The 22,239-nt window shown below is 55.6% G+C and overlaps 3 protein-coding genes across 8 annotated transcripts in view, besides 6 other annotated features; 2 read left to right on the top strand and 1 right to left on the bottom strand.

Moving 5' to 3' along the window:
• Positions 709–768: an enhancer, noted in NCBI's record as "active region_10641". NCBI's record gives its function as "activates an Ori minimal core promoter by ATAC-STARR-seq in GM12878 lymphoblastoid cells {active_cell/tissue: GM12878}" and the evidence as "EXISTENCE:reporter gene assay evidence [ECO:0000049][PMID:35858748]".
• Positions 1,419–1,478: a silencer, noted in NCBI's record as "silent region_7309". NCBI's record gives its function as "represses an Ori minimal core promoter by ATAC-STARR-seq in GM12878 lymphoblastoid cells {active_cell/tissue: GM12878}" and the evidence as "EXISTENCE:reporter gene assay evidence [ECO:0000049][PMID:35858748]".
• Positions 1,892–9,364, top strand: IL27 (interleukin 27). The gene is made up of 5 exons (NM_145659.3): positions 1,892–1,945; positions 4,676–4,848; positions 4,933–5,031; positions 6,592–6,750; positions 8,806–9,364. Exons 1-5 carry the CDS (start codon positions 1,915–1,917, stop codon positions 9,073–9,075), a joined length of 732 nt encoding a protein of 243 aa, NP_663634.2. The 5' UTR covers positions 1,892–1,914; the 3' UTR covers positions 9,076–9,364.
• Positions 8,462–8,962: an enhancer, noted in NCBI's record as "H3K4me1 hESC enhancer chr16:28511085-28511585 (GRCh37/hg19 assembly coordinates)". NCBI's record gives its function as "activates a minimal SCP1, AML or CMV promoter by ChIP-STARR-seq in primed H9 embryonic stem cells {active_cell/tissue: H9 hESC(primed)}" and the evidence as "EXISTENCE:reporter gene assay evidence [ECO:0000049][PMID:30033119]".
• Positions 8,963–9,463: an enhancer, noted in NCBI's record as "H3K4me1 hESC enhancer chr16:28510584-28511084 (GRCh37/hg19 assembly coordinates)". NCBI's record gives its function as "activates a minimal SCP1, AML or CMV promoter by ChIP-STARR-seq in primed H9 embryonic stem cells {active_cell/tissue: H9 hESC(primed)}" and the evidence as "EXISTENCE:reporter gene assay evidence [ECO:0000049][PMID:30033119]".
• On the bottom strand, positions 9,762–14,083 carry APOBR (apolipoprotein B receptor). The gene is made up of 4 exons (NM_018690.4): positions 13,988–14,083; positions 10,730–13,627; positions 10,377–10,645; positions 9,762–10,290 (listed from the first exon to the last, which is right to left on the bottom strand). Exons 1-4 carry the CDS (start codon positions 14,042–14,044, stop codon positions 10,221–10,223), a joined length of 3,294 nt encoding a protein of 1,097 aa, NP_061160.3. The 5' UTR covers positions 14,045–14,083; the 3' UTR covers positions 9,762–10,220.
• Positions 15,981–16,770: an enhancer, noted in NCBI's record as "H3K27ac hESC enhancer chr16:28503277-28504066 (GRCh37/hg19 assembly coordinates)". NCBI's record gives its function as "activates a minimal SCP1, AML or CMV promoter by ChIP-STARR-seq in naive H9 embryonic stem cells {active_cell/tissue: H9 hESC(naive)}" and the evidence as "EXISTENCE:reporter gene assay evidence [ECO:0000049][PMID:30033119]".
• Positions 16,442–16,641: an enhancer, noted in NCBI's record as "active region_10640". NCBI's record gives its function as "activates an Ori minimal core promoter by ATAC-STARR-seq in GM12878 lymphoblastoid cells {active_cell/tissue: GM12878}" and the evidence as "EXISTENCE:reporter gene assay evidence [ECO:0000049][PMID:35858748]".
• CLN3 (CLN3 lysosomal/endosomal transmembrane protein, battenin) overlaps positions 16,644–22,239 on the top strand; it is a 25,430-nt gene continuing 19,834 nt past the window's right edge. The window contains exons 1-9 of one of the 6 annotated variants that reach the window (NM_001042432.2): positions 16,652–16,706; positions 16,891–17,012; positions 17,166–17,244; positions 19,340–19,436; positions 20,064–20,135; positions 20,985–21,064; positions 21,185–21,270; positions 22,076–22,148; positions 22,236–22,239. The exon at positions 22,236–22,239 is cut by the window's right edge and continues 140 nt beyond it. In NM_001042432.2, coding sequence (NP_001035897.1) covers positions 16,967–17,012; positions 17,166–17,244; positions 19,340–19,436; positions 20,064–20,135; positions 20,985–21,064; positions 21,185–21,270; positions 22,076–22,148; positions 22,236–22,239 — 537 coding nt within the window. In that variant the 5' untranslated portion in view covers positions 16,652–16,706; positions 16,891–16,966. Of the gene's footprint in view, positions 17,013–17,165; positions 17,245–19,339; positions 19,437–20,063; positions 20,136–20,984; positions 21,065–21,184; positions 21,271–22,075; positions 22,149–22,235 lie in introns of all 6 variants that reach the window. The other 5 variants (NM_000086.2, NM_001286104.2, NM_001286110.2 and 2 more) reach the window with 5 other exon arrangements.

The following is a 22,239-nucleotide window of genomic DNA, read 5'->3' as shown; positions in this document are numbered from 1 at the left end:
TCAGCCTCCTAAGTAGCTGGGACTACAGGTGCCTGCTGCCATGCCTGGTTAGTTTTTGTATTTTTAGTAGAGACGGGGTTTCACCATGTTGGCCAGGCTGGTCTCAAACTCCTGACCTCAAGTGATCCACCCGCCTTGGCCTCCCAAAGTGCTGGGATTACAGGCATGAGCCACCACGCCTGGCCTTATTTTATTGTGTTTTTAATAGAGACGGGGTCTTGCTATTTTGCCCAAGCTGGTCTGGAACTCCTGGCCTCAAGGGATCCTCTCACCTCAGTTTCCCAAAGTGCTGAGATTACAGGTGAGAGCAGAGTCGCCCAGCCAGGGTTCAAGATGTGAGAGGTAAGGCAGTTCTGGGTGACAGTAGAGGTTGGGAGGGGCCATGGAGAGAGCCGAAGCGAGGCCCCATGTGGTCAAGGGGGTGAGCAGGTGGCATGCCTCCAGGACCCGCTGTGGGGAGCCCCAGCTGCATAGGCTGCCGGGGAGTGAGCTGCCACCACTGGGGGGTGCTGCAGAGGAAACAGGGGCTGGACTCCAGCCCCAGTTCCCTGTCCGTCTCCAGTGGCCTGTGGGGCTGCTCCCTCGGCAGATGTTGGTATTTCCCTGGTGCGCTCGTTCCCAAGTGGCCTGGTGGGCAGTGCCCAGGCAGGCCGAGGAGGCAGAGAGCAGGAAGGGGAAGCCCCGCCTGGTTTCTATCTCACACCAGGGACCCGGCAGGGAAACCCCACAGGTCCTAAAAAGAAAGTGGCAGCAGTTGTTCTTGGGGAAGACCAAGAAACCCCATCCTCTCCCTGAAGATGGGAAATCCAGGGCGGGGCTGAGGGTGGGGCTGTGCTGGAAGGGAGACCTGTGGTCCATGTGGCCCAGCCCTGACCATGGCCTCTACAGAGCAGAAACACCAAGATTATTCTTGGACCTGGTTGAGCCCTGATCCTGACCTCACTCAACTCAAGCCTGGCCACAGGCTGAGCCCCGATCCTGGTCACTGACTGAGCTCTCATCCCAGCCCAAGCCTGGACCCCCTGCTGAGTCCCAGTCCCAGTCAGCACCTTGGCCAAAGACCAAGCTCTAGACCCAACCCTATAGGCCACAAGCAAAGCCCCAGGTCACTGATAGCTCTGACCCTAAACACAGACACAGCCGGGACATTGGCCCGGGACTAGGCTGTGAGTTCAGCTGTACACTGATTCCTGATCCTGATTATAGACTGAAATCAAATCCTATATCTGACTCAGGTTAAAGATGGAGACAGAGCCCTTGGCCCTGGAAAAAACCCTAACCCTGGTCCCAGATATGGCCTCGGACCTGGTTTTATCCAGCCCTGACCCTAGTTACAAACTGAGCTCCAATCCCACCCTCACGCTGAGCCTCTGCCTGGCCCCATGCAAAGGTGCATCCCAGCCACCCACTGAGCACTGACTCTCTCTGCGCCACCTCCCTCAGCCATCTGGTAAACCATAAGGGAGTCAGATGACTCAAAACCCCGAATCCCCTCGGGTGGGCAATCCCCTTACCTGGCTATCCATCTTTGGAAGGACAGTAGACCCTAGGATGATGGTGGCAGAGCCGAGAATCAGGAGGGGGTTTGGGACTCTGGGATCAACCAGTGAATAGGGCTGGATGGCTCACCCAAGCATGGGACATTGAGGACAGGGCTGGACGTGGGAGCTTAGCAGTGAGTCTGGAGCTTGGATGTCCCGAAACCCCAGCTTCCCGTCACCCCCCATCATACCTCCCACCCCCTCCGGGAAGGGAAATTACATTTCCCCATTTTAGCAAGGGGTGGCGAGAGGGAAGAATGAGTGAACACAAAGCTGAAAGTACAAGCAGGACGGAAAGTGAAACCGGGCACAGCCCCCAGTATAAGACCCCCCCTACCCAGGAGATGGCTGACCAAAGAGGCTGGGCCCCGCCATGGGCCAGACGGCAGGCGACCTTGGCTGGCGTGAGTTTGAAGCCAGGGGTGGGGGGCTTGGTTGAGTTTGGGCAGAGAATGGACGAGCTTGGCTGGTGCAGATGGGGGGTCGAGAGCTGAGAGCAGCAACTTGGCCAAGACTGAGGATTCGGCTGGCTGCTGCATGGGAAGGGAGGCTGGCATGACTGGGTGGGGGCCTGGGGCAGTGGGGTGGTGGTCTGACCCAGGGCTGGGCAGAGGATGAGAAGGAGGCCTTGGCTAGTGGGAATGGGGAGGGTTGGACCAGCAATTTGACAAGGACCAGGTCTAGGCAGATAAATGAAGAGTTTGGAGTGAATAAGCAGAAGCCAAACAGCTTGGCTAAGACTGAGAATGGGGCCGGCTGGAGGAAGAGCAGAACGAGGTGCTGGCACAAGTGGAGCACTGGGACCAAGATGTCAGCAGCCTCACTGGGTCAAAGGTCTTTAGTTTGATGTTGGAAAGAGGTCCAATCTGCGGCTGGTGGCTGCAGAACTCAGGGGCTAGAACCAGAGCAGTAGGCAGTGGAGAAGGTAACATGCCACGTAGGGCAGGTAGGGACCAAAGGCTGGAGGATGGAGACAGAGCCTTCAAAGGCCAGAGCCAATGACCCAGGATCAGCTGCAGAGGGTAAGGAGGGGGTCTGGGGTCTCCAGAGGTCAGGTTGGAGATGGCACAGCTCACTTACGGTTGGGCTTGATCCACCAGGGCCTGGGGGCACCCACCCTGTCCCCAACATTGAGCTAGGAAGAACCCCACTCTGCCTTAAGTCTCCAGGATGTCAGAGGGTCCGAGTGGCCCCAAAACCAGGGAGTCTGAATGCCAGAGATCTTACGTTAGGCATCGCCCACCACATCTGCAAGCCCACGAGGGAGGTAGATGTCCCTAGAAGCTCCCCTTCACCTTTATCAGGGGACATTTCGAAGAGCAGAGCCCAGGGGTTAGAGATTGAGAGAGGACAGGGAAGAGGCAGGGAGAGAAGGGAGAGCAGGATGGACTTCGGGCCAGTTTTGGTTTGTGTTTCGAGGAGAATTGTGTAACTCTTGTGCTTGCTAGATTTCCTCTCCCTGAGGGGGAAATTGATGAATGCTGCCCTCTTCCTAGAGCGCCCATCCGCTGCCCCTCTTTCCAGGAAAACACAGGTCAGGAAGCACACTCGGAATTCAGCCATTCTGGGCTGGGCGCAGTGGCTGATGTCTGTAATCCCAGCACTTTGGGAGGCCAAGGCAGGCGGATCACCTGAGGTCAGGAGTTGGAGACCAGCCTGGCCAACACGGCAAAACCCCTCTCTACTAAATATAATAAAAATTAGCCAGGCGTGGTGGCTACTCAGGAGGCTGAGGCAGGAGAATTGCTTTAACCTGGGAGGTGAAGGTTGCAGTGAGTCGAGATCGCGCCACTGCACTGCAGCCTGGGTGACAGAGTGAGAATCTGTCTTAAAAAAAAAAAAGCTCCCATACTGTGGATTCGCCCCAGGCAGGTTACCCTGCTAGGATCCACCTGCCGTGGTGGAAACTGGACAAACCTGTCCTTTTGACTCCCTGGAATAGAGCCTCTGGCATTGCCAGCCCATCCCTGGGGACCTCATGGCCAGTTCAAGCCATCAGAGCCGCTTGGCTGAGCCCAAAGAATCCTTGCCAGAACATGGTGTGCCCACTCCTGGGGCAGATGGCTGCCTCCCTCTGCATTCTCTGGGGAAAACCCATGGGCTCTGCATTTGGAAAAACCTGGAATCCAGTCCTGGCTTCCCACCTTCTGGCTATTTGACCTTGGGCAAGTCAACCTCACTGAGCCTCACCTGCAAATTGGGGAGAACAATAGCACTGAGGCTGCCACACGTGGTTGTGCAGGTTGCTCACTGAAAAAGGCATTTGGCCAAGGGAGTTTATGGGGGTCAAAATCCAGTCTCTGTCCCGGCACAGTGGCTCATGCCTGTGATCCCAGCAATTTGGGAGGCTGAGGCGGGAAGATCTCTTGAGGCCAGGAGTTCAAGACCAGCCTGGGCAACATAGTGAGACCCTGTCTCTACAAAAAAATAGAAACAGTTAGGCACAGTGGTGTGTCCCTGTGATCCCAGCTACTTGGGAGGCTGAGGCGAGAGGATCACTTGAGCCTAGGAGTTCAAGGCTACAGTGAGCTGTGATCACACCACTACACTCCAGGCTGGGTGATAGAACAGAACTCTGTTTCAAAAAAAAAAAAAAAGGATCAGGCTTCTGGTCTTTTTGCAAAAGTGGGCACACCATGCGGAGATGCCATATGGGGGCCGTGCTGGCTGCATCGTGGGGTTTTGTTTTGTTTTGTTTTGTTTTGTTTTTTTGAGACAGAGTCTGGCTCTGTCGCCCAGGCTGGAGCACAGTGGTGTTAGCTCACTGCAGCCTCTGCCTCCCAGGTTCAAGCGATTCTCCTGCCTCAACCTCCTGAGTAGCTGGGATTACAGGCATGCACCACCACGCCCAACTAATTTTTGTATTTTTAGTAGAGACAGGGTTTCGCCATGTTGGCCAGGCTGGTCTTGAACTCCTGGCCTCAGGTGATCCGCCCGCCTCGGTCTCCTAAATTGTTGGGATTACAGGTGTGAGTCACCGCACCCAGCCTCCATTGTGGTTTTGAGGAGGCAGAGGAATGATGCTGGTCAAAGTGCCTGCACCGTGCTCACAGCTAGCACAGGCTCAGAAAAGGCATGTTCCCTTCCTTCTCAAGCTCTCTCCCTGTCTTGCCACCCTCTTCCCATCTCTCCAGGGCTCAGCCTGTTGCTGCTTCCCTTGCTCCTGGTTCAAGCTGGTGTCTGGGGATTCCCAAGGCCCCCAGGGAGGCCCCAGCTGAGCCTGCAGGAGCTGCGGAGGGAGTTCACAGTCAGCCTGCATCTCGCCAGGAAGCTGCTCTCCGAGGTTCGGGGCCAGGCCCACCGCTTTGTAAGTCCCCCTAATGCAGCTGGCGCTGGAGATGGGCAGACCCCCAATCCCTTCTGGCCCCCACTAACAGACCTTGCCCCCCAGGCGGAATCTCACCTGCCAGGAGTGAACCTGTACCTCCTGCCCCTGGGAGAGCAGCTCCCTGATGTTTCCCTGACCTTCCAGGCCTGGCGCCGCCTCTCTGTGAGTGAGGGCTGGTGGAGTGGGGCGGGAAGCTTGTGATAGGCTGGGGCCAGGGTGCAAGATGAGGCTGGAGATTGAGCTGGAGATGCATTGGGGATAGAACCTGGATAAGGCTGAATATGTCATTGGACATAGAGATGAAAGACAGGCATGGTGACTTACACCTATAAACCCAGCACTTTGGGAGGCCCAGGTGGAAGGACTGCTTGAGGCCAGGAGTTCAAGACCAGTCTGGGCAACATAGTGAAACTTTGTCTCTACAAAAAAAAATTTAAGAGTTAGCCAGGCATGGTGGTGTACACCTTTGGTCCCAGCTACTCAGGAGGCTGACATGGGAGGATTGCTTGAGCTCAGGAGTTGGAGGCTGCAGTGAGTTATGATCCTGGACTCCAGGATGGAGAACAGAGGGAAACCCTGTCTCAGAAAAATAAATAAACTGCCAGGCGTGGTGGCTCATGCCTGTAATCCCAGCACGTTGGGAGGCTGAGGAGCACGGATCACCTGAGGTCAAGAGTTCAAGACCAGCCTGGCCAACATGGCGAAACCCCATCTCTACTAAAAAATACAAAAATTAGCTGAGCGCAGTGGCTCACGACTGTAATCCCAGCACTGTGGGAGGCTGATGTGGGTGGATCACCTGAGGTCAGGAGTTCGAGACCAGCCTGACCAACATGAAGAAACCCCACCTCTACTAAAAATACCAAATTAGCCGGGTATGGTGCTGTGCGCCTGTAATCCCAGCTACTCGGGAGGCTGAGGCAGGAGAATTACTTGAACCCAGGAGGTGGAGGTTGCAGTGAGATGAGATCGCGCCACTGCACTCCAGCCTGGGCAACAGAGCGAGACTCCATCTCAAAACAAACCAACAATAAAGATGAAGCTGGAATAAGGAAGTGGGGTTGGGAAGAGGTAAGAGTGGAGCTAGGCATGGAACGCGGCAGGCATGGGACTGGAATGAGGCTGGAGACAGATCACAGCAGCATGGAGGGTGGGTGGAGGTGGCACTGGGGGTGAGAATGCGGATAGTTAGAGATGAGAAGGTGATGATGAGGGTGAACGTTAAGCATGGGATGGAGAAGGGATGGGGATTGCTGGTGGGGAAGGGAATGGAATAGGGTTAGGAATGAGGTTGGAGATGGGATGGAAAGATGGAAAGAGTGAGTCTGGGCACATGGAGGAAGGATGGAGTTGGGGTTAGGAATGGGAATGAGGCTGAAGATGGGATGGAAACACATGGGCAGGAGGTATGATGGGATGGTGGAGGAGGGAAGGGAACAGGGCTGTGGATGGAGAGTGCTTCAGGGACTGAGAGGGGGTGGGTTAGAGAAGATCATTGGCATAGGAGTGAAAGGGAGGCTGGAAAAGGAGATGGGACAAATGTCCCAGACAGTGGAGATGGAAGGAATGGGGACACAGCTGGGCTGAGGTGGGGGAAGAGCTACAGGGATGGACTGGAGGCTGGAGCGTGGAATGGGAAGGAGACCCGGATAGGGAGGGGGTGGGTGTGATATGGCCATCCTTGGCCTGTGGACCTTTCCTGACCATCTCCCTCCCCTTCAGGACCCGGAGCGTCTCTGCTTCATCTCCACCACGCTTCAGCCCTTCCATGCCCTGCTGGGAGGGCTGGGGACCCAGGGCCGCTGGACCAACATGGAGAGGATGCAGCTGTGGGCCATGAGGCTGGACCTCCGCGATCTGCAGCGGCACCTCCGCTTCCAGGTAGAGCCCGGCCACCCTCCACCACCCCAGACCACGTGGGAAAGAAGACTCGCTGGCTCATTCAGTGATCCCATGCTCTGAGTGTGTGTGAGTGTGAGAGTGTGAGTGTGACTGAGTGTCCATGAGTGTGTGGGTTCATGAGTGTGAGAGTGACTGTGTGGGTCCGTAAGTGTGGGAGAGTGAGTGTGACTGTGTGGGTCCATGAGTGTGACAGTGTGACTGTGAGAGTGTGTGAGTGTGGGTCTGTGAGTGTGAGAGTGTGTGGGAGTGACTGTGAGTGCATGTGGGTCTGTATGAGTGTGAGCATGACTGTGTGTGAGGGTGTGGGTCCGTGAGTGTGAGAGTGAGTGTGTGGGTCTGTGTGAGTGTACCTGACTGTGAGAGTGTGTGGGTGTGACTGTGAGTGTGTGTGTGGGGGGGCTGTATGAGTGTGAGCATGACTGTGTGTATGTGCGTCCGTGTGTGAGTGTGACTGTGAGTGTGTGGGTCTGAGTGTGAAAGTGTGTGGCTGTGAGTGTGTGAGTGTGTGGGTGTGACTGTGAGTGTGTGTGGGTCTGTATGAGTGTGAGCGTGACCGTGTGTGTGTAGGTCCATGAGTGTGAGACTGTGAGTGTATGGGACTGTGAGTGTAAGAGTGTGGGAGTGTGTGGGTGGGTGTGTGAATGTGAGTGTTGTGAGTGTGAAAGTGAGGTGTGTGGGTGAGAGTTTGGGTATAGGTATGTCAGTGTGTGAGGATGAGTGTGAGTGTGAGAGTATGTGGGTACGTGAACGATTTTTTTTTTTTTCTGAGACTAAGTCTCACTCTGTCGCCCAGGCTGGAGTGCAGCGGTGCGATCTCAGCTCACTGTAACATCTGCCTCCCAGGTTCAAGCAATTCTCCTGCCTCAGCCTCCTGAGTAGCTAGGACTACAGGCGTGCACCATCATGCCTGGCTAATTTTTTTGTATTTTTAGTTTCACCATGTTGGCCAGGCTGGTCTCAGACTCCTGACCTCGCGCTCTGCCCGCCTCGGCTTCCCAAAGTGCTGGGATTACAGGCGTGAGCCACTGTGCCCAGCCATGAATGTGTTTTGTGTGAATGTGACTGTATGGGAATGAGTGTGGGTGCGTTGTGAGAATGAGTATGTGTGTGAGTGTGTGCGTGTGTGCAGGCGCACACACAGCCACACCAGGCCCTGGTGCTGCCCCTCAATCTTCACATTCTCCTGGGGCTCTATCTTCAACAGGAGGCCATTGGGCTGTGAGGTCACTCGGGGTGTGTCCTGAGTGCCCAGCACAGCGTCTGCCTCCTGTTTCCTTTCTCCCTCTGATTCTCTGATGTCACCCAGATCCTCCAGAACCTTTCAAAGGGAAATCAGAATTTTACACTTAATGAAATGAGAATAGAAAATGCAAGCAGCAGGGCTGGGCGTGGTGGCTCACGCCTGGAATCCCAGCACTTTAGGAGGCCAAAGCGGGTGGATCATTTGAGGTCAGGAGTTCGAGACCAGCCTGGCCAACATGGTAAAACCCCATCTCTACTAAAAATACAAAAATTAGTCGGGCGTGGTGGTGCGCGTCTGTAGTCCCAGCTACTCAGGAGGCTGAGGTAGGAGAATTGCTTGAACTGGGGAGACAGAGGTTGCAGTGAGCCGTGATCACCCCACTGCACTCCAGCCTGGGCGACAGAGCGGGGCTCCCAAGAAAGAGAGAGAGAGAGGAATGGCAAGCAGCAGGGAATCTGAGCTATGTCACCCTCTGCCTGTTGCTGACCCGACCCAAAAGCAACTTTCACAGCAGAGAGAAACTTCCTGAACCCCACGCCTCGGGGCAGTCCTTGGGGTGATCTAGCTCTGTGAGCATCCTCTTGCTCCTTGACTTCCATTTTCTCGAACTGAAAGATCAGGTGAGACGCGTTAGCAGGTGACATCATGGAAGATCAAGCAGGGAATGTCCGGGGAAATCATGACCTTGTGGTCACTGATGTCATTGGGAACCGCTGGGCATGAATAGGGAATGAGGATTCCTCTCAGGTTCTCGGCCTGGCCCCTCCCTGACCCATGGCCTCTCCTCACAGGTGCTGGCTGCAGGATTCAACCTCCCGGAGGAGGAGGAGGAGGAAGAGGAGGAGGAGGAGGAGGAGAGGAAGGGGCTGCTCCCAGGGGCACTGGGCAGCGCCTTACAGGGCCCGGCCCAGGTGTCCTGGCCCCAGCTCCTCTCCACCTACCGCCTGCTGCACTCCTTGGAGCTCGTCTTATCTCGGGCCGTGCGGGAGTTGCTGCTGCTGTCCAAGGCTGGGCACTCAGTCTGGCCCTTGGGGTTCCCAACATTGAGCCCCCAGCCCTGATCGGTGGCTTCTTAGCCCCCTGCCCCCCACCCTTTAGAACTTTAGGACTGGAGTCTTGGCATCAGGGCAGCCTTCGCATCATCAGCCTTGGACAAGGGAGGGCTCTTCCAGCCCCCTGCCCCAGGCTCTACCCAGTAACTGAAAGCCCCTCTGGTCCTCGCCAGCTATTTATTTCTTGGATATTTATTTATTGTTTAGGGAGATGATGGTTTATTTATTGTCTTGGGGCCCGATGGTCCTCCTCGGGCCAAGCCCCCATGCTGGGTGCCCAATAAAGCACTCTCATCCACCCCTGGCCTCCGCTTCTCTTCGGGTAAGGGCTGTCTGACACCCAGAGGGCAGGGCAGCCTGGAACGGGGTCAGCAACCTCTAGCCATCCTGAACCCCTCTCTGCTCCTACATTTTTGGGGTCTCTGGCCCACCTTCCCCTACTATGTCCTGCTCCGGCAGGCAGTTGCCATAGTAACCAGCAGCATCCTGAGGCCGAGCTACCGTGTTGGAAGCTCAAGGCAGCTCATCTCTGATTCTGAACAGTGCTCCTTAAGCCCTCCCAACCGCCTTCCTTTGGCCTGGATGCAGCTCCAGAGGTTTGTGTTATCCCCGCCCAGTTCTGAGGGTCTTGGTGCAGGGAGTTGGGCTGGGAAGTGGGAGTTAGAGAGGAAGGCCTGTAAGGAAAATGGTCGCTGTTCCCTCAGTCTTCCTTGCAGTCTTTATTGTTTTATTTTGTTTTTAAAAGATGGGGATCTTGCTATGCTGCCCAGGCTGGTCTCGAACTCCTGGTCTCAAGCGATCCTCCCACCTTGGCCTCCCAAAGCTCTGGGGTGACAGGCGTGAGCCCCCGTGCCCAGCCTCCTTGCAGTCCAGACAGCTGACTCAGGCTGGGGAGGAACCAGGGCAGGCACCCTGAGAGGTGGTCTCAGTGGGGTAGGTGGTCCACCAGCCTGTGTCGGAGAATCAGACTCCTTAAGTTCACGGTCTTCCCAGACGTCTGGTTTTGCCTGCTCCATGAATGATACATCAAGACACTGAGGCCCAGAGGGTGGAGAGGATGTGTCCACAGTGGCAGAGGGAGCAGGGCTCAGTGGCATTGGAGCAAGCCTTCTGGCACCCACTCAGGGCCTGGCTCCCAGAGCACCGGGTCTCAGTCACTGGGGCTTAGGCCGGCCCAGACGGGCTTGCAGCTCCTGCATCATGCCAGGGTGCGCGAGGCCAAACCTGGAGGCGGAAGTCAGGCCCGTGAGAACAGGTTCCCAGGTGCCCGCGGTCTCTTCCCCACCCCAGCTGAGTTGCCCTGTGCCTACCCGTGTCCCAGGGGCCTTCTCCTGGCTGGCACCGGGGTCCCATCATGCCTCAGAGGGCTTGGCTCCAGGGGTTCCTCCAGCTGGAGGGGTCTCTGCTCAGGAGCTGACAGCTCCTCCTCAGGAGGGTTGGGGGCTGGGGGCTCCTCCTGCTGCTCCCAGGCCGGAGTCCGACGAAAAGAGGGCCGGGAGCGACGCTGTGAGGAGCTTCTCGAGAGGTGCACGCGACTCCTTGGGACAGAGACGTCTAGGAGGGACCCGGGGAGCGGGGCCTGCAGGAAAGGGGGCACAGAGGACCATGGGGCCGGCTTCGGGATTCCACTCGTTCCCCCCGAGACCCCACCAAGAGCCCTCACCTCGCTCCAGCTGTTGGCAGCACCTCCTCTGGCACTGCCCATGGCCTCAGCCGTCTCGGCTTCCCCGACTGACTCCGGCGCAGCTTCTGCAGGGGCCTGGTGTGTTGGCTGCTCCTCCTGGCCCCTGACATGTTCCAGGCTTTCTGGCTCAGTCTCCTTGGCCTCTGCCCTCCGGCCCCCGGTCACCATGAGACCCTCTGCATCAAGGAGCCTTGGTGCCTCTCCCTCAGGGTGGTAGTCCCCACACCGCCCCTCACTGTCTTCCCTCTGTTCTCTCTCCTGCCATCCAACAGCCTCTTCTTCCAACAGCGTCCACTTTTCTAGAAGCCCCCCAGCCTCCACCATGGCTCCCATCCCCTCTGCCCTCGCTGTCTGGGAGCCCGCGGGATCCAGCCCACAGCTGTCCTCTGCGCCTGCAGATTCCTCGGCCTCTACCCGCCCTCCCCAAGGTCCTCCCTCCCTGGACTCAAAAGCCTCTACTTGGCTGCCTCTGCCAGTCACCTCTTCCTCTGCTGAGCCCTCCAGACCAAATTCTTGCCCACCTGCATGCTCTCCTGCTGCTGCCTCTTCCTTTTCTTTCGAGTCCCAGCCTTGCCCAAGCACCCCTTCCAAAGCTTCACCAGCGCCAGCAGCGCTGATGTGTGGGACCACATCACCCCCCATAATCCCAGCAGCCACAGAGCCAGTCTGTGCATCCTCACGGTCCGGGAGGCCCACAGCCACCGCTTGCAGCCTCCAGCCTCTTCTGGATGTTCTGTCAGCCTCCGCCTCCTCATCCTCAGTTTCTCTGGCATAGGCCTCTCCCAGTGACGGGCAAGGCCCTGCGTCTGCCCCTGTGCTTCCGTCCAGCTCCTGGTTCTCTGAGACAGATGCCTCTCCCTCCTCAGTTCCACATCCCGCGTCCTGGGTTGTCAGCCCCTCCCCGCCTGCCTCTGGGACTTCTGATAGTTCAGACTCTCGGTCTCCTTCAGCCTCAGCCGCCAGGGTCTGGCCTCCCGCAGTCTCCTCCTCCTCCCGCTGCTCGCCATCGGCCGCATCCTCCTGAGTATTTCCTCTCTCCATGTCCTTTCTCGTGCGGTTTTCCCAGGCTCCTGGGAAGGCCTCGGAGGCCTCAGGCTTTACAGACCCCGCGTGCCTGGGACCTGCCTCCAGGCTCCTCTCCTGCTCCTCTTTGCTCAGGGCCAGAACTCCCATGAGCTCCACCTCCCCTGCCTCCCTTTCCTCGGGTTGCTTAGTTGGGGTCTGGGCGCCCCCCATCAGCTCAGGTCCTTGGCCTTTGGTGACGCTGTGTGTGAGGCCACCCCATTCCACGCCCAGTAGGCCACAGCTAGTCTGGGCCGCCTCACTCTCCTCCCCTGTGAGCTCCTCCTCAGGCCTGGCCTCTGGAGTTGCCTCCAAGTCGGCAGTGCCTTCAGCCTCTCCATCTGAGGGCAGCTCAGCCACTGGATCCCTGCTGCTCCCTCTCTCCTCCTGGGCCTCCTCTGCCTGTACCAGCTCTTCCATCCTGGCCCGGTCGGCCCTGATCCCCAAGTCCTGCCTCATCTCAGCCTCCTTACCACGCAGGTCTACCTGGCCCTCAAAGCTCTCCCCTGCCTCCTGGCCTCCCACAGCTTCCCTCCCTGCGGTCTGGCTCTCAGCAGCCTCTTCTGTTCTTTCAGTGCCCAGGACCTGGGGCTGTTTGGGGAAAGGGCTCACCTCAGCCTCTCTCTCCTCATCCCCCTCCTCCTCTAGGACCCAGACTTTTCCAGTAGCCTCTAGGAGCCTTTCTCCTGGGACTGCTCCATATTCTGTCTGTCTGACTCCCAGCAGGTCAGCCTCCTCTTTGCCTGAGGTTGTCCAGGCCTCGTCCCCTCCTGAGGCTGTCCCGGCCTCCTCCCCTCCTGAGGCTGTCCCGGCCTCCTCCCCTCCTGAGGCTGTCCCAGCCTCCCCGCCTGAGGCTATCCCGGCCTCCTCCCCTCCCGAGGCTGTCCCGGCCTCCTCCCCGCCTGAGGCTGTTTCAGCCTCCTCCCCGCCTGAGGCTGTCTCAGCCTCCTCCCCGCCTGAGATTGTCCTGGCTTCCTCCCCATCTAAAATTGCCCTGGCCTCTTCCCTACCTGGGGTTGTCCTGGCCTCCTCTCTGCCTAAGATTCCCCAGTCCTCAGGCTCTGCCCCTGGGCCCCACGTCCCCCATGCCCTAGTGCTTTCACAGGCCTTCTCCACCACTACCACCTCTTCTCCTTTCCCAGCCCCTTCGGCCCCAGGCTCCTCAGTTTCCCCTGCATCTGCCTCCCTGACCCCCTGCTCCATCTCCCGGTTGTCCCCTGCCGCCTTTGGCCCAACAGCACCAGCCTTCCCCTCCGTCTCCCCATGCCAGGTCCACTCTGACTCCGCCCCTCTGGCCATCCCTGGCTCTCTTGCCCTGACCTCTTCCTCCTCCTCCTCCTGTTCCCAGCTTCTCAGCCTCTCTTCTCTGTTCACTTCCTGCTCATGGGACTCCTGCCTCTCCTGGGCTTGGCCGCTCCTGTCTTGGCAAGCCCCAGACCCTGCCTTGGATTTCTTTCTGGCCTCCAAGTGGGCGCTTGGCTCCTGGCACCTGGCAGCCTTGGCTGTCTCCCCAGCCCCACTGTCCTGCCTCTCTGCTTGGGACCCATGGGAGCTGCCATCTCCCCAGCCCCAGGTCTGTTCTACAGCTGAGCTCCCCACTTCATGTCTTCTGTCATCTCCAGGCCCTCTCAGCCTTCCAGCCCCCTCGTTTTGGCTGCCTCTAAGGCCCTCCAGGTCCTCCTGGGCTTCCTCCTCTACAATCTTCCCTGTCTTTCCCACCGCCACCACCCCCAGTTCCTCAGCCGCCTGCGCCTCCCGCTCTACAGTGGGGACTGCATCTCCCAGGAGGTAGGAGACAAAGGTGCCGAGGGAATCCTAGGAAAAAAGAGAGAGAGAGGGGAGAGTCATTGAGGAGAGTCCCAGCCCTTTCCCTGGGGGCCCTGGCTGGAGGAGCCCAGGTTAAGGAAGAGGGTACTGGGATCTGAAAGGAGAAGAAGAGGATTTGCAGAAGGAGCCAGAAGGGGCATCGATTAGGGGTACGAGGACGCATGGTTGGAGGTGGGGACTGAAATTCAGAAAATATTAGGCCAGGAGTCTGCCTGAACCTGAGAAAGCAATCTCCAGTTTGAGGAGATCAGAAGGAGGAGGGGAAAGGTGAGGCCCCAGGGGAGGTGCCCGGAAGTGAGGCCCCAGGGAATGGGGTGCAAGTATCTGGCAGCTGTCTGCCCTTCTCACCAGTGCCCCCCTCAAGGCCTGGTGCAGCCCAGGGAGGTATAGCCGGAGGAAGTCCATCCTGTCTGTCTCTGTCTGTGTGTCCAGAAAGCTGATAATGACCGTCCCCACCCACCAAGACAAGCCAACCTTCCCCAGGACCAAAGGCACTTCCTCTTCCCCTGTCTCCCTGATGCGTCCCCACCCCAGGCCCTGCCCACGGCCCCTGATGCCCACAGTAGCCCCCACTGCAGCCCGGGAAATGGGTGTACATCACACAGGGGACTCAGGTGCACATTTGGAAATAAAGGACAAGCAAGAGGCCAGAAAGGACAAAGTGGGAGCAGGAGACCTTAGAACTGGGGAGGGGGAGAGGGAGGGGACATGTGGCAACAGCAGCTCAAGTGACTCAGGTCTCGTATCCGCACCTCAGCCATTTCTGCCTCCCCTACAAGCCACAGCCACTCTGCAAGAGGAAGCTGGGGTTTGTGGTTCCTGTTTTGCCTGGGAAGAAAGAGTAGCAGTGAAGAGGGGGCTGGTGGGAGCTCTGACACATTTCGGCGTCATTAATGCTTCCCCCAGGGGCGGAAGGGGCCGGATTGGTGGCTCTGGGGTGCATCCCCTCACCTATGATTAGGCTTGCAAAAAAGAACTTGGCTAAACTTTATATTGTGGATATCTGTGTCTGCCTCCCACCTTCCTGTGACTTCCTTGATGGCAGATGCCATGTATGAAACGCTGCTGAATTTCTAGAGCCCTGCACGTTAGTAGGATTCCATTTTCCATCAGCTGAGTGACCTGGGAGGCACACTAGAGAGGGCACATTTCTTTTCTTTTCTTTTCTTTTTTTTTTTGAGACAGTCTCACTCTGTCACCCAGGCTGGAGTGTAGTGGCGCAGTCTCAGCTCACTGCAACCTCTGCCTCCTGGGTTCAAGTGATTCTCCTGCCTCAGCCTCCCGAGTAGCTGGGATTACAGGTGCGTGCCACCACACCTGGTTAATTTTTGTATCTTTAGTAGAGACAGGGTTTCACCATGTTAGCCAGGCTGGTTTCGAACTCCTGACCTCAGGTGATCTGCCCACCTTGGCCTCCCAAAGTGCTGGGATGACAGGCATGAGCCACCACACCCAGACGAGAGGGCACATTTCCAACTGCATTCTGAAGGCCTGGTGGTGAGAAAGAGCATATAGAGGTGGCACAGCCCATAGCAGAGATGAGGCCAAGGACAAGAAGAGAATGCAGGATGCCGCTTTCCACCTAGAAGAAGGTAAGGGTATGATTCCTTATTTGGAACTACATAAAGTGACCTTGCTCTACTTCTCTTCCCCATACCCTCCTTCTCCCCTCCCCAGCCCCACTTTCCTATTCCAATTAGGGCAATTCTATGAAATCACAGCATCAGAATCTTAGGCCTTAAAATCATTTAGTCTGGCCAGGTGCAGTGGCTCACGCCTGTAGTCCTAGCACTTTGGGAAGCCAAGGCAGGTGGATTGCTTGAGCTCAGGAGTTTGAGGCCACCCTGGGCAACGTGGCAAAATCCAGTCTCTACAAAAAACACAAAAATTAGCTGGGCACAGTGGTGCGCACCTGCTGTCCCAGCTACTCGGGAGGCTGAGGTGGGAGGATCACCTGAGCCTGGGAGGTCAAGGTTGCAGCAAACCAAGATCCTGCCACTGCACTCCAGCCTGGGCAACAGAGCAAAACCCTGTCAAAAAAAAAAAAAAAATCTGGTCTAAGCACCACCTTTGATGGAGGCAGGAATCCTGCAGCAGCCTGGAGCCAACCCAATGGCTCCCTGCCTCTGGTGCTCTATTTCTTATCACCATACAGGTCTCTAAGGTCACCTTTAGGTCTAACATTGTATGAATGATTGTCAGCAACTTTCCAATTTTTTTCATATACATATATTTTTTTTATTTTATTTTTTACTTTTTCTTTTTTTGAGACAGGATCTCACTCTGTCACCCAGGCTGGAGTGCAGTGGCGTGATCATAGCTCACTGTAGCTTCAACCTCCTGGGCACAAGTGATCCTCCCACCTCAGCTTCCAAGGTACCTGTGACTACAGGAATGCGCCACCATGCCCGGCTAATTTTGTTATATATATATATATATATATTTGTACCTTGGTTTTCTCATCTGTAACACCAGGGGTTGAAGTGCTGTGATATTTTTTGGTTCTAGGATAATTTGGAAATAGGGATCTCTTAACATCTTGGATACTGCCAATAGATCATTCACGAAATCCCTTTAGATGAGTGTTATGTTTACTTAGGTCTCTAAAACAATTTGTAAGGTCAACAGATGGGGATAAGAATGACCTGAAGCTGGTCGTCTTTGTTCGCAACCAGAAACAGTCCTGCCTCAAAAAAAAAAAAAAAAAAAAGGGAGTAGGCAGGTGGCCATATTTGTTTCTGGCAAGTGAGTGCTGAAGGAAAGGAGCTGAAGCCTCCCACAGTCATAACTGGTGCTGGCAGGCTACTGTCTCGGTCTTGGGCGCCACTGATCTAAGGTCACGGCTCTGCTTGCTGCTCCCACCCGCTCCAGTTTAAAACCTGCGGTTCCAGGGTTCTCCAGCCCCTCCCTTTTTCACGCTCCGAAGCCGAGAAGGCCCAAAGCGAAGACAGAGAGGACCCGGAAGTAGGGAAAACCTCTGAGCACGTGATGGGGGAACACGCGGGTGCTGTCACGTGATCCGACAAACGGCCTCTGCATAGTGCAGAACATTCTGCTGCTCTTAAAGGTACAGGCCTCAGGGTCCCTGCTGTAGACGGGGCGGGGGAGAGTACGATGGGTGGGGCGTGGTGGGTCGTAGGGCGCTCGAGATGGAGCCCCCAGCTTCCTTGATGGATCGCGGGGCGCGAGTGCCCTAGACAAGCCGGAGCTGGGACCGGCAATCGGGCGTTGATCCTTGTCACCTGTCGCAGACCCTCATCCCTCCCGTGGGAGCCCCCTTTGGACACTCTATGACCCTGGACCCTCGGGGGACCTGAACTTGATGCGATGGGAGGCTGTGCAGGCTCGCGGCGGCGCTTTTCGGATTCCGAGGGTGAGTATTCCCGCCCACCCTCATGGAACGACCACCTCTGGCTCGCAGCCCACCTGAGGGGAATGAGAGCTGACTCGGCCCCGGGAGGACACGCAAGGAGCGGTCGTGCACCTGAGAGTAGGTGGGGGTCATGCCCTCTTCTCGCTCTCCCAGGGGAGGAGACCGTCCCGGAGCCCCGGCTCCCTCTGTTGGACCATCAGGGCGCGCATTGGAAGAACGCGGTGGGCTTCTGGTGAGTGGCCTGAGACTTCAGCGAGTGACAATGGCATGAGAAGAGGGAAGTGACCGGAGGAAAGGGGGAAGAAAGAGTTAAGCTGCGCAAAGGAGCTGAACCCACAAATATTTACTGAATCCACTGGTTTGCCCCAGGGGCAGCATGTAAAATTTCCAAACTTCACTCCTTATCACCTTCCGGATTTAGCAAGATCCTCATACCTACCACCTGTAGGATTATTTACTTTTTTCTTCCAGCCAATTCAGCCTTAACGTTTTTTAGTGCACATATTTTTAAAAAGAAAACTTTAAATCACGACTCCACTTGGAAAACCAGCGTTTTCCTAGTGAACGTTTAAATAAATGCATCACTACTAAAACTTTTTTATTTTTTTAATTTATTTTATTTTATCTTATTTTTTTTTCTTTTTGAGACAGGGTCTTGCTCTGTTTCCCAGGTTGGAATGCAGTAGTGCAATCACAGCTCCCTGCAGCCTGGAACTCCTGGGCTCAAGTGATTCTCCCACCTCAGCCTCCAAGTAGGTGTGGCTACAGGTGTGCACCACCGCATCTGCCTAATTTTTATATTTTTTTATAGAGATGGGGGTCTCACTATGGGACCTGGGCTGGTCTCAAACTCGTGGCCTCAAGTGATCCTCCTACCTCAACCTTCCAAAGTGCTGAGATTACAAGCATGAGCCACCATGCCGGGCCTGAACCTTTTTTTTTTTTTTTTTTTTTGAGACGGAGTCTCTCTCTGTCCTCCAGGCTGGAGTGCAGTGGCGCAATCTCGGCTCACTGCAAACTCCGCCTCCCAGGTTCACACCATTCTTTTGCCTCAGCCTCCGGAGTAGCTGAGACTACAGGCGCCTGCCACCACGCCCGGCTATTTTTTTGTATTTTTAGTAGAGATGGGGTTTCACCGCGTTATCCAGGATGGTCTCGATCTCCTGACCTCGTGATCCGCCCGCCTCGGCCTCCCAAAGTGCTGGGATTACAGGTGTGAGCCACCGCGCCCAGCTTTTTTTTTTTTTTTTTTTAATTTTATTTTATTTTTGAGACAGAGTCTCACTCTATCACCCAGGCTGGAGAGCAGTGGCACAATCTCGGCTCACTGAAACCTCCACCTCCAAGGTTCAAGCTATTCTCCTGTCTCAGCTCCCCGAGTAGCTGGGATTACAGGTGCGTGCCACCAGACACAGCTAATTTTTTGTATTTTTAGTAAAGACAGGATTTCACCATGTTGGTCAGGCTGGTCTAGAACTCCTGACCTTAGGTGATCCGCTTGCCTCCACTTCCCAAAGTGCTGGGATTACAGGCGTGAGCCACCGTGCCCCGCCCTGACATAGGGGCTTTGGGATCACAGACTTGGATTCACTTCCAGCCTCCAAGGCCTCTCCCAGAAACTCTCTGTGACCACTCTCCTTTTTTTTTTTTTTTTTTGAGATAGAGTCTCGCTCTTGTAGCCCAGGCTGGAGTGCAATGGCACAATCTCGGCTTACTGCAACCTCCGCCTTTCGGGTTCAAGTGGTTCTCCTGCCTCAGCCTCCTGAGTAGCTAGGATTACAGGCATGTGCAACTTCGCCCAGCTAATTTTGTATTTTTTAGTAGAGACGGGGTTTCTCCATATTGCTCAGGCTGGTCTCGAACTCCTGACCTCAGGCGATCCGCCCGCCTCGGCCCCTCAAAGTGCTGGAATTACAGGTGTGAGCCACTGCACTCGGCCTCTTCCTTTTTATTTTTTATTTTTGTGACAGGGTCTTGCTCTGTCACCCAGGCTAGAGTGCAGTGGCATGATCACAGTTCACTGCAGCCTCTGACTCCTGGACTCAAGCAATCCTCCCACCTCAGCCTCCCAAGTAGCTGGGACTACAGTGCAAGCCACCACACCTGGCTAATTTTTAAATTTTTTGTAGAGATGGGGGTCTCACTATCTTGCCCAAGCACCAAAGCCTGTATTTTTGACCCCAACATTGAATGAGGATGGGATCTGGTGATAGAGGGAAAAAAAAGAGGGGGCTGATTGAAGGGCACAGGTAAGGGAAGGTTTGGCACAAAGGCTACAGATGGCTGCAGGATGAGGAGGGAGTTGAGACCTGTCCTGCTCCTTCCAGGCTGCTGGGCCTTTGCAACAACTTCTCTTATGTGGTGATGCTGAGTGCCGCCCACGACATCCTTAGCCACAAGAGGACATCGGGAAACCAGAGCCATGTAAGTGACTCTCTACCACCACCACCATGGTTAGTCCCTGTGGGAAGATGAGGGGGTGGGACAAGGTGGGGTAAAGTTTCCAGTCTCTGGCTGGGCACAGTGGCTCACACCTGTAATCCCAGCAGTTTGGGAGGCTGAGGCGGGCGGATCACTTGAAGTCAGGAGTTCGAGACCAGCCTGGCCAACATGGTGAAACTCCGACTCTACTAAAAATACAAAAACTACCTGGGTGTGGTGGCACACACCTGTAGTCTGAGCTATTCAGGAGGCTGAGGCAGGAGAATTGCTTGAAGCCAGGAGGTGGAAGTTGCAATGAGCCAAGATCACACCACTGCACTCTAGCTTGGGCAACAGAGTGAGACACCATCTCAAAAAAAAGAAAGCTCTTGAATGTGTTATCTAAACAAAGTCCATTTACAGGGCCATCTGTGGCCTGTGGTCTAGTAGTGTGAGACTCATATGGAAACCCCCTCTTCATTGTGCATGCAGAGACGCTGAGGTCCTGAGAAGTCAGTCACTGCTGACCCAAAGCCATCCTTCAAGTGAAGGCAGAGCTGGGACGGGAGCCAGGCTCTGTGTGTCTATCCCTCTGCCTCCAGGGTGAAAGACATGCTTTTCTCCCATTAGGTGGACCCAGGCCCAACGCCGATCCCCCACAACAGCTCATCACGATTTGACTGCAACTCTGTCTCTACGGCTGTGCGTACTCATCTCACCTGGTCCTTGCCTGACCCAGGGCCCCTGGGTCTATAGACCCCACTCCCAGCCCTTCACTACCCAGCTGGGACTGTCATGATTAAAACAGTTGAGACCTGGGCTGGGCGCACTGGCTCACACTTGTAATCCCAGCACTTTGGGAGACCAAGGTGGGAGGATCACTTGAGCCTAGGAGTTTGAGACCAGCCTGGGCAGTATAGTGAGACCCCCATCTTAAAGAAAAAAATTAAAAAATATATATATATAAAATAATTGAGACCTTAATATAATTTCTGAGGCTGAGGCGGATGGATCACTTGAGACCAGGAGTTCAAGACCAGCCTGGCCAACATGGTGAAACCCCATCTGTACTAAAAATACAAAAATTAGCCAGGCATGGTGGTGCACGCCTGTAATCCCAGCTACTCAGGAGGCTGAGGCAGGAGAATCACTTGAACCCAGGAGGTGGAGGTTGTAGTGAGCCAAGATCGAGCCACTACACTCCAGCCTGGGTGGCAGAATGAGACTCACTCTCAAAATATATATATATATAGTTTCTGAGTCCTTTCTGTCTGCACCATATATTAGCTCATTTAAGCCACACAGCAGTCCTGTGAGCTAGGTGCTATGATATTCCCATTTTCCAGATGAGGAAACTGAAGCTCAGAGAGTATAAACTCTTGACACACAACTAAGGAGTGGGAGAGCTGAGACTTGAACCCAGGCGTGCCTGACTCCAGAGCCTGTGTTTGTAGCAGGCCTGTTTGGCCAGCTCCTGCCTCTCCTTGGCCACGTGGTTGGGAGGGTTGTCCCCTGGAAGCTCTGCGGTCTCACTCTATTCTCCTGTCCCAGGCTGTGCTCCTGGCGGACATCCTCCCCACACTCGTCATCAAATTGTTGGCTCCTCTTGGCCTTCACCTGCTGCCCTACAGGTCTGGGTGAGGGTAGTGGGAGGCAGGGTGGGCAGGAGCTGAGAAAGGGGAGGCTGGGATGGCTGAGATGCTGAGAGTAGAGACCGACCTTCCCCCTCCCTTCCCTTCTCACCCCCTCAGCCCCCGGGTTCTCGTCAGTGGGATTTGTGCTGCTGGAAGCTTCGTCCTGGTTGCCTTTTCTCATTCTGTGGGGACCAGCCTGTGTGGTGAGTGTGTGGTTCTGTGTCAGATGGGGAGCCCCGAGGAACCACATCAGAGCATTTGTGGGAAGAGTCTCCCCAGCCTCCCAGAGGAAAGGGATTCATTCTGTCACCCTTAGAAGCCTGCTAGGGCTATCAGCAGTAGGCGATGGGAGACTGGGACAATTTGGAGGGGTAGGCAGTGGAGGAGATGGGAGAAAATGGATGAATTAGATGGAGATTGAGGTGAACAAAGTCAAGACTCTGTGATGGACCAGGCACAGTGACTCATGCCTATAATCCCAGCACTTTGGAAAGCCAAGGCAGGCAGATCACCTGAGGTCAGGAGTTCGAAACCAGCCTGGCCAACATGGAGAAACCCCGTCTCTACCAAAAATACAAAAATTAGCTGGGTGTGGTGGCAGGAGCCTGTAATCCCAGCTACTCGGGAGGCTGAGGCAGGAGAATCTCTTGAACCTGGGAGGCAGAGGTTGCAGTGAGCCGAGATCACGCCACTGTACTCCAGCCTGGGTGACAGGGCGAGACTCCGTCTCCAAAAAGAAAAGAAAAGAAAAAGACTGATGAAGGGGCAGAGACATCAAGGGTGCATGTCTGCCCCTGGTCTGATAACTGGGTGGATGGAGGTGCCACTCTCCATGAAGGGACACGCAGGGGAGTGGGGCTCTGCTTCAGACCTGGAACCTGGCCTATGCATGGGATCTATTGGAGCCTCTATGAGCTGATACTGAGGAGGCCATGGCCAGACACATTAGAGGCCTGGGCAGTGTGGCAAGGTGTGGTGTGACCATCCCAGTGCTTGTCCTCCCCCCAGGTGTGGTCTTCGCTAGCATCTCATCAGGCCTTGGGGAGGTCACCTTCCTCTCCCTCACTGCCTTCTACCCCAGGTAAGCAGGTGGAGCAGGGAGTGTGGGGAGAGGCTGTCCCATGGTCAGCCTAGGTCCTCCTGAATGTTCCTGTGTTCTCCTTCCCAGGGCC

The sequence above is a fragment of the Homo sapiens genome, chromosome 16 (genome assembly GCF_000001405.40).
Source record: "Homo sapiens chromosome 16, GRCh38.p14 Primary Assembly".
Taxonomy (NCBI): domain Eukaryota; kingdom Metazoa; phylum Chordata; class Mammalia; order Primates; family Hominidae; genus Homo; species Homo sapiens.
Note: the sequence above shows the minus strand (reverse complement) of the source record. Positions and strands in the feature narration are given on the sequence as shown.

Coding starts and splice junctions, on each gene's coding strand:
- IL27 (NM_145659.3), top strand. CDS start 1,915: ATGGGCCAGACGGCAGGCGACCTTGGCTGGC. Junction 1,946..4,675: donor GGCAGGCGACCTTGGCTGGC/GTGAGTTTGAAG, acceptor CCATCTCTCCAG/GGCTCAGCCTGTTGCTGCTT. Junction 5,032..6,591: donor AGGCCTGGCGCCGCCTCTCT/GTGAGTGAGGGC, acceptor CCTCCCCTTCAG/GACCCGGAGCGTCTCTGCTT.
- APOBR (NM_018690.4), bottom strand. CDS start 14,044: ATGGACTTCCTCCGGCTATACCTCCCTGGGCTGCACCAGGCCTTGAGG. Junction 13,628..13,987: donor AGGCCTTGAGGGGGGCACTG/GTGAGAAGGGCA, acceptor CTTTTTTCCTAG/GATTCCCTCGGCACCTTTGT. Junction 10,646..10,729: donor CTGCCAACAGCTGGAGCGAG/GTGAGGGCTCTT, acceptor CCTTTCCTGCAG/GCCCCGCTCCCCGGGTCCCT.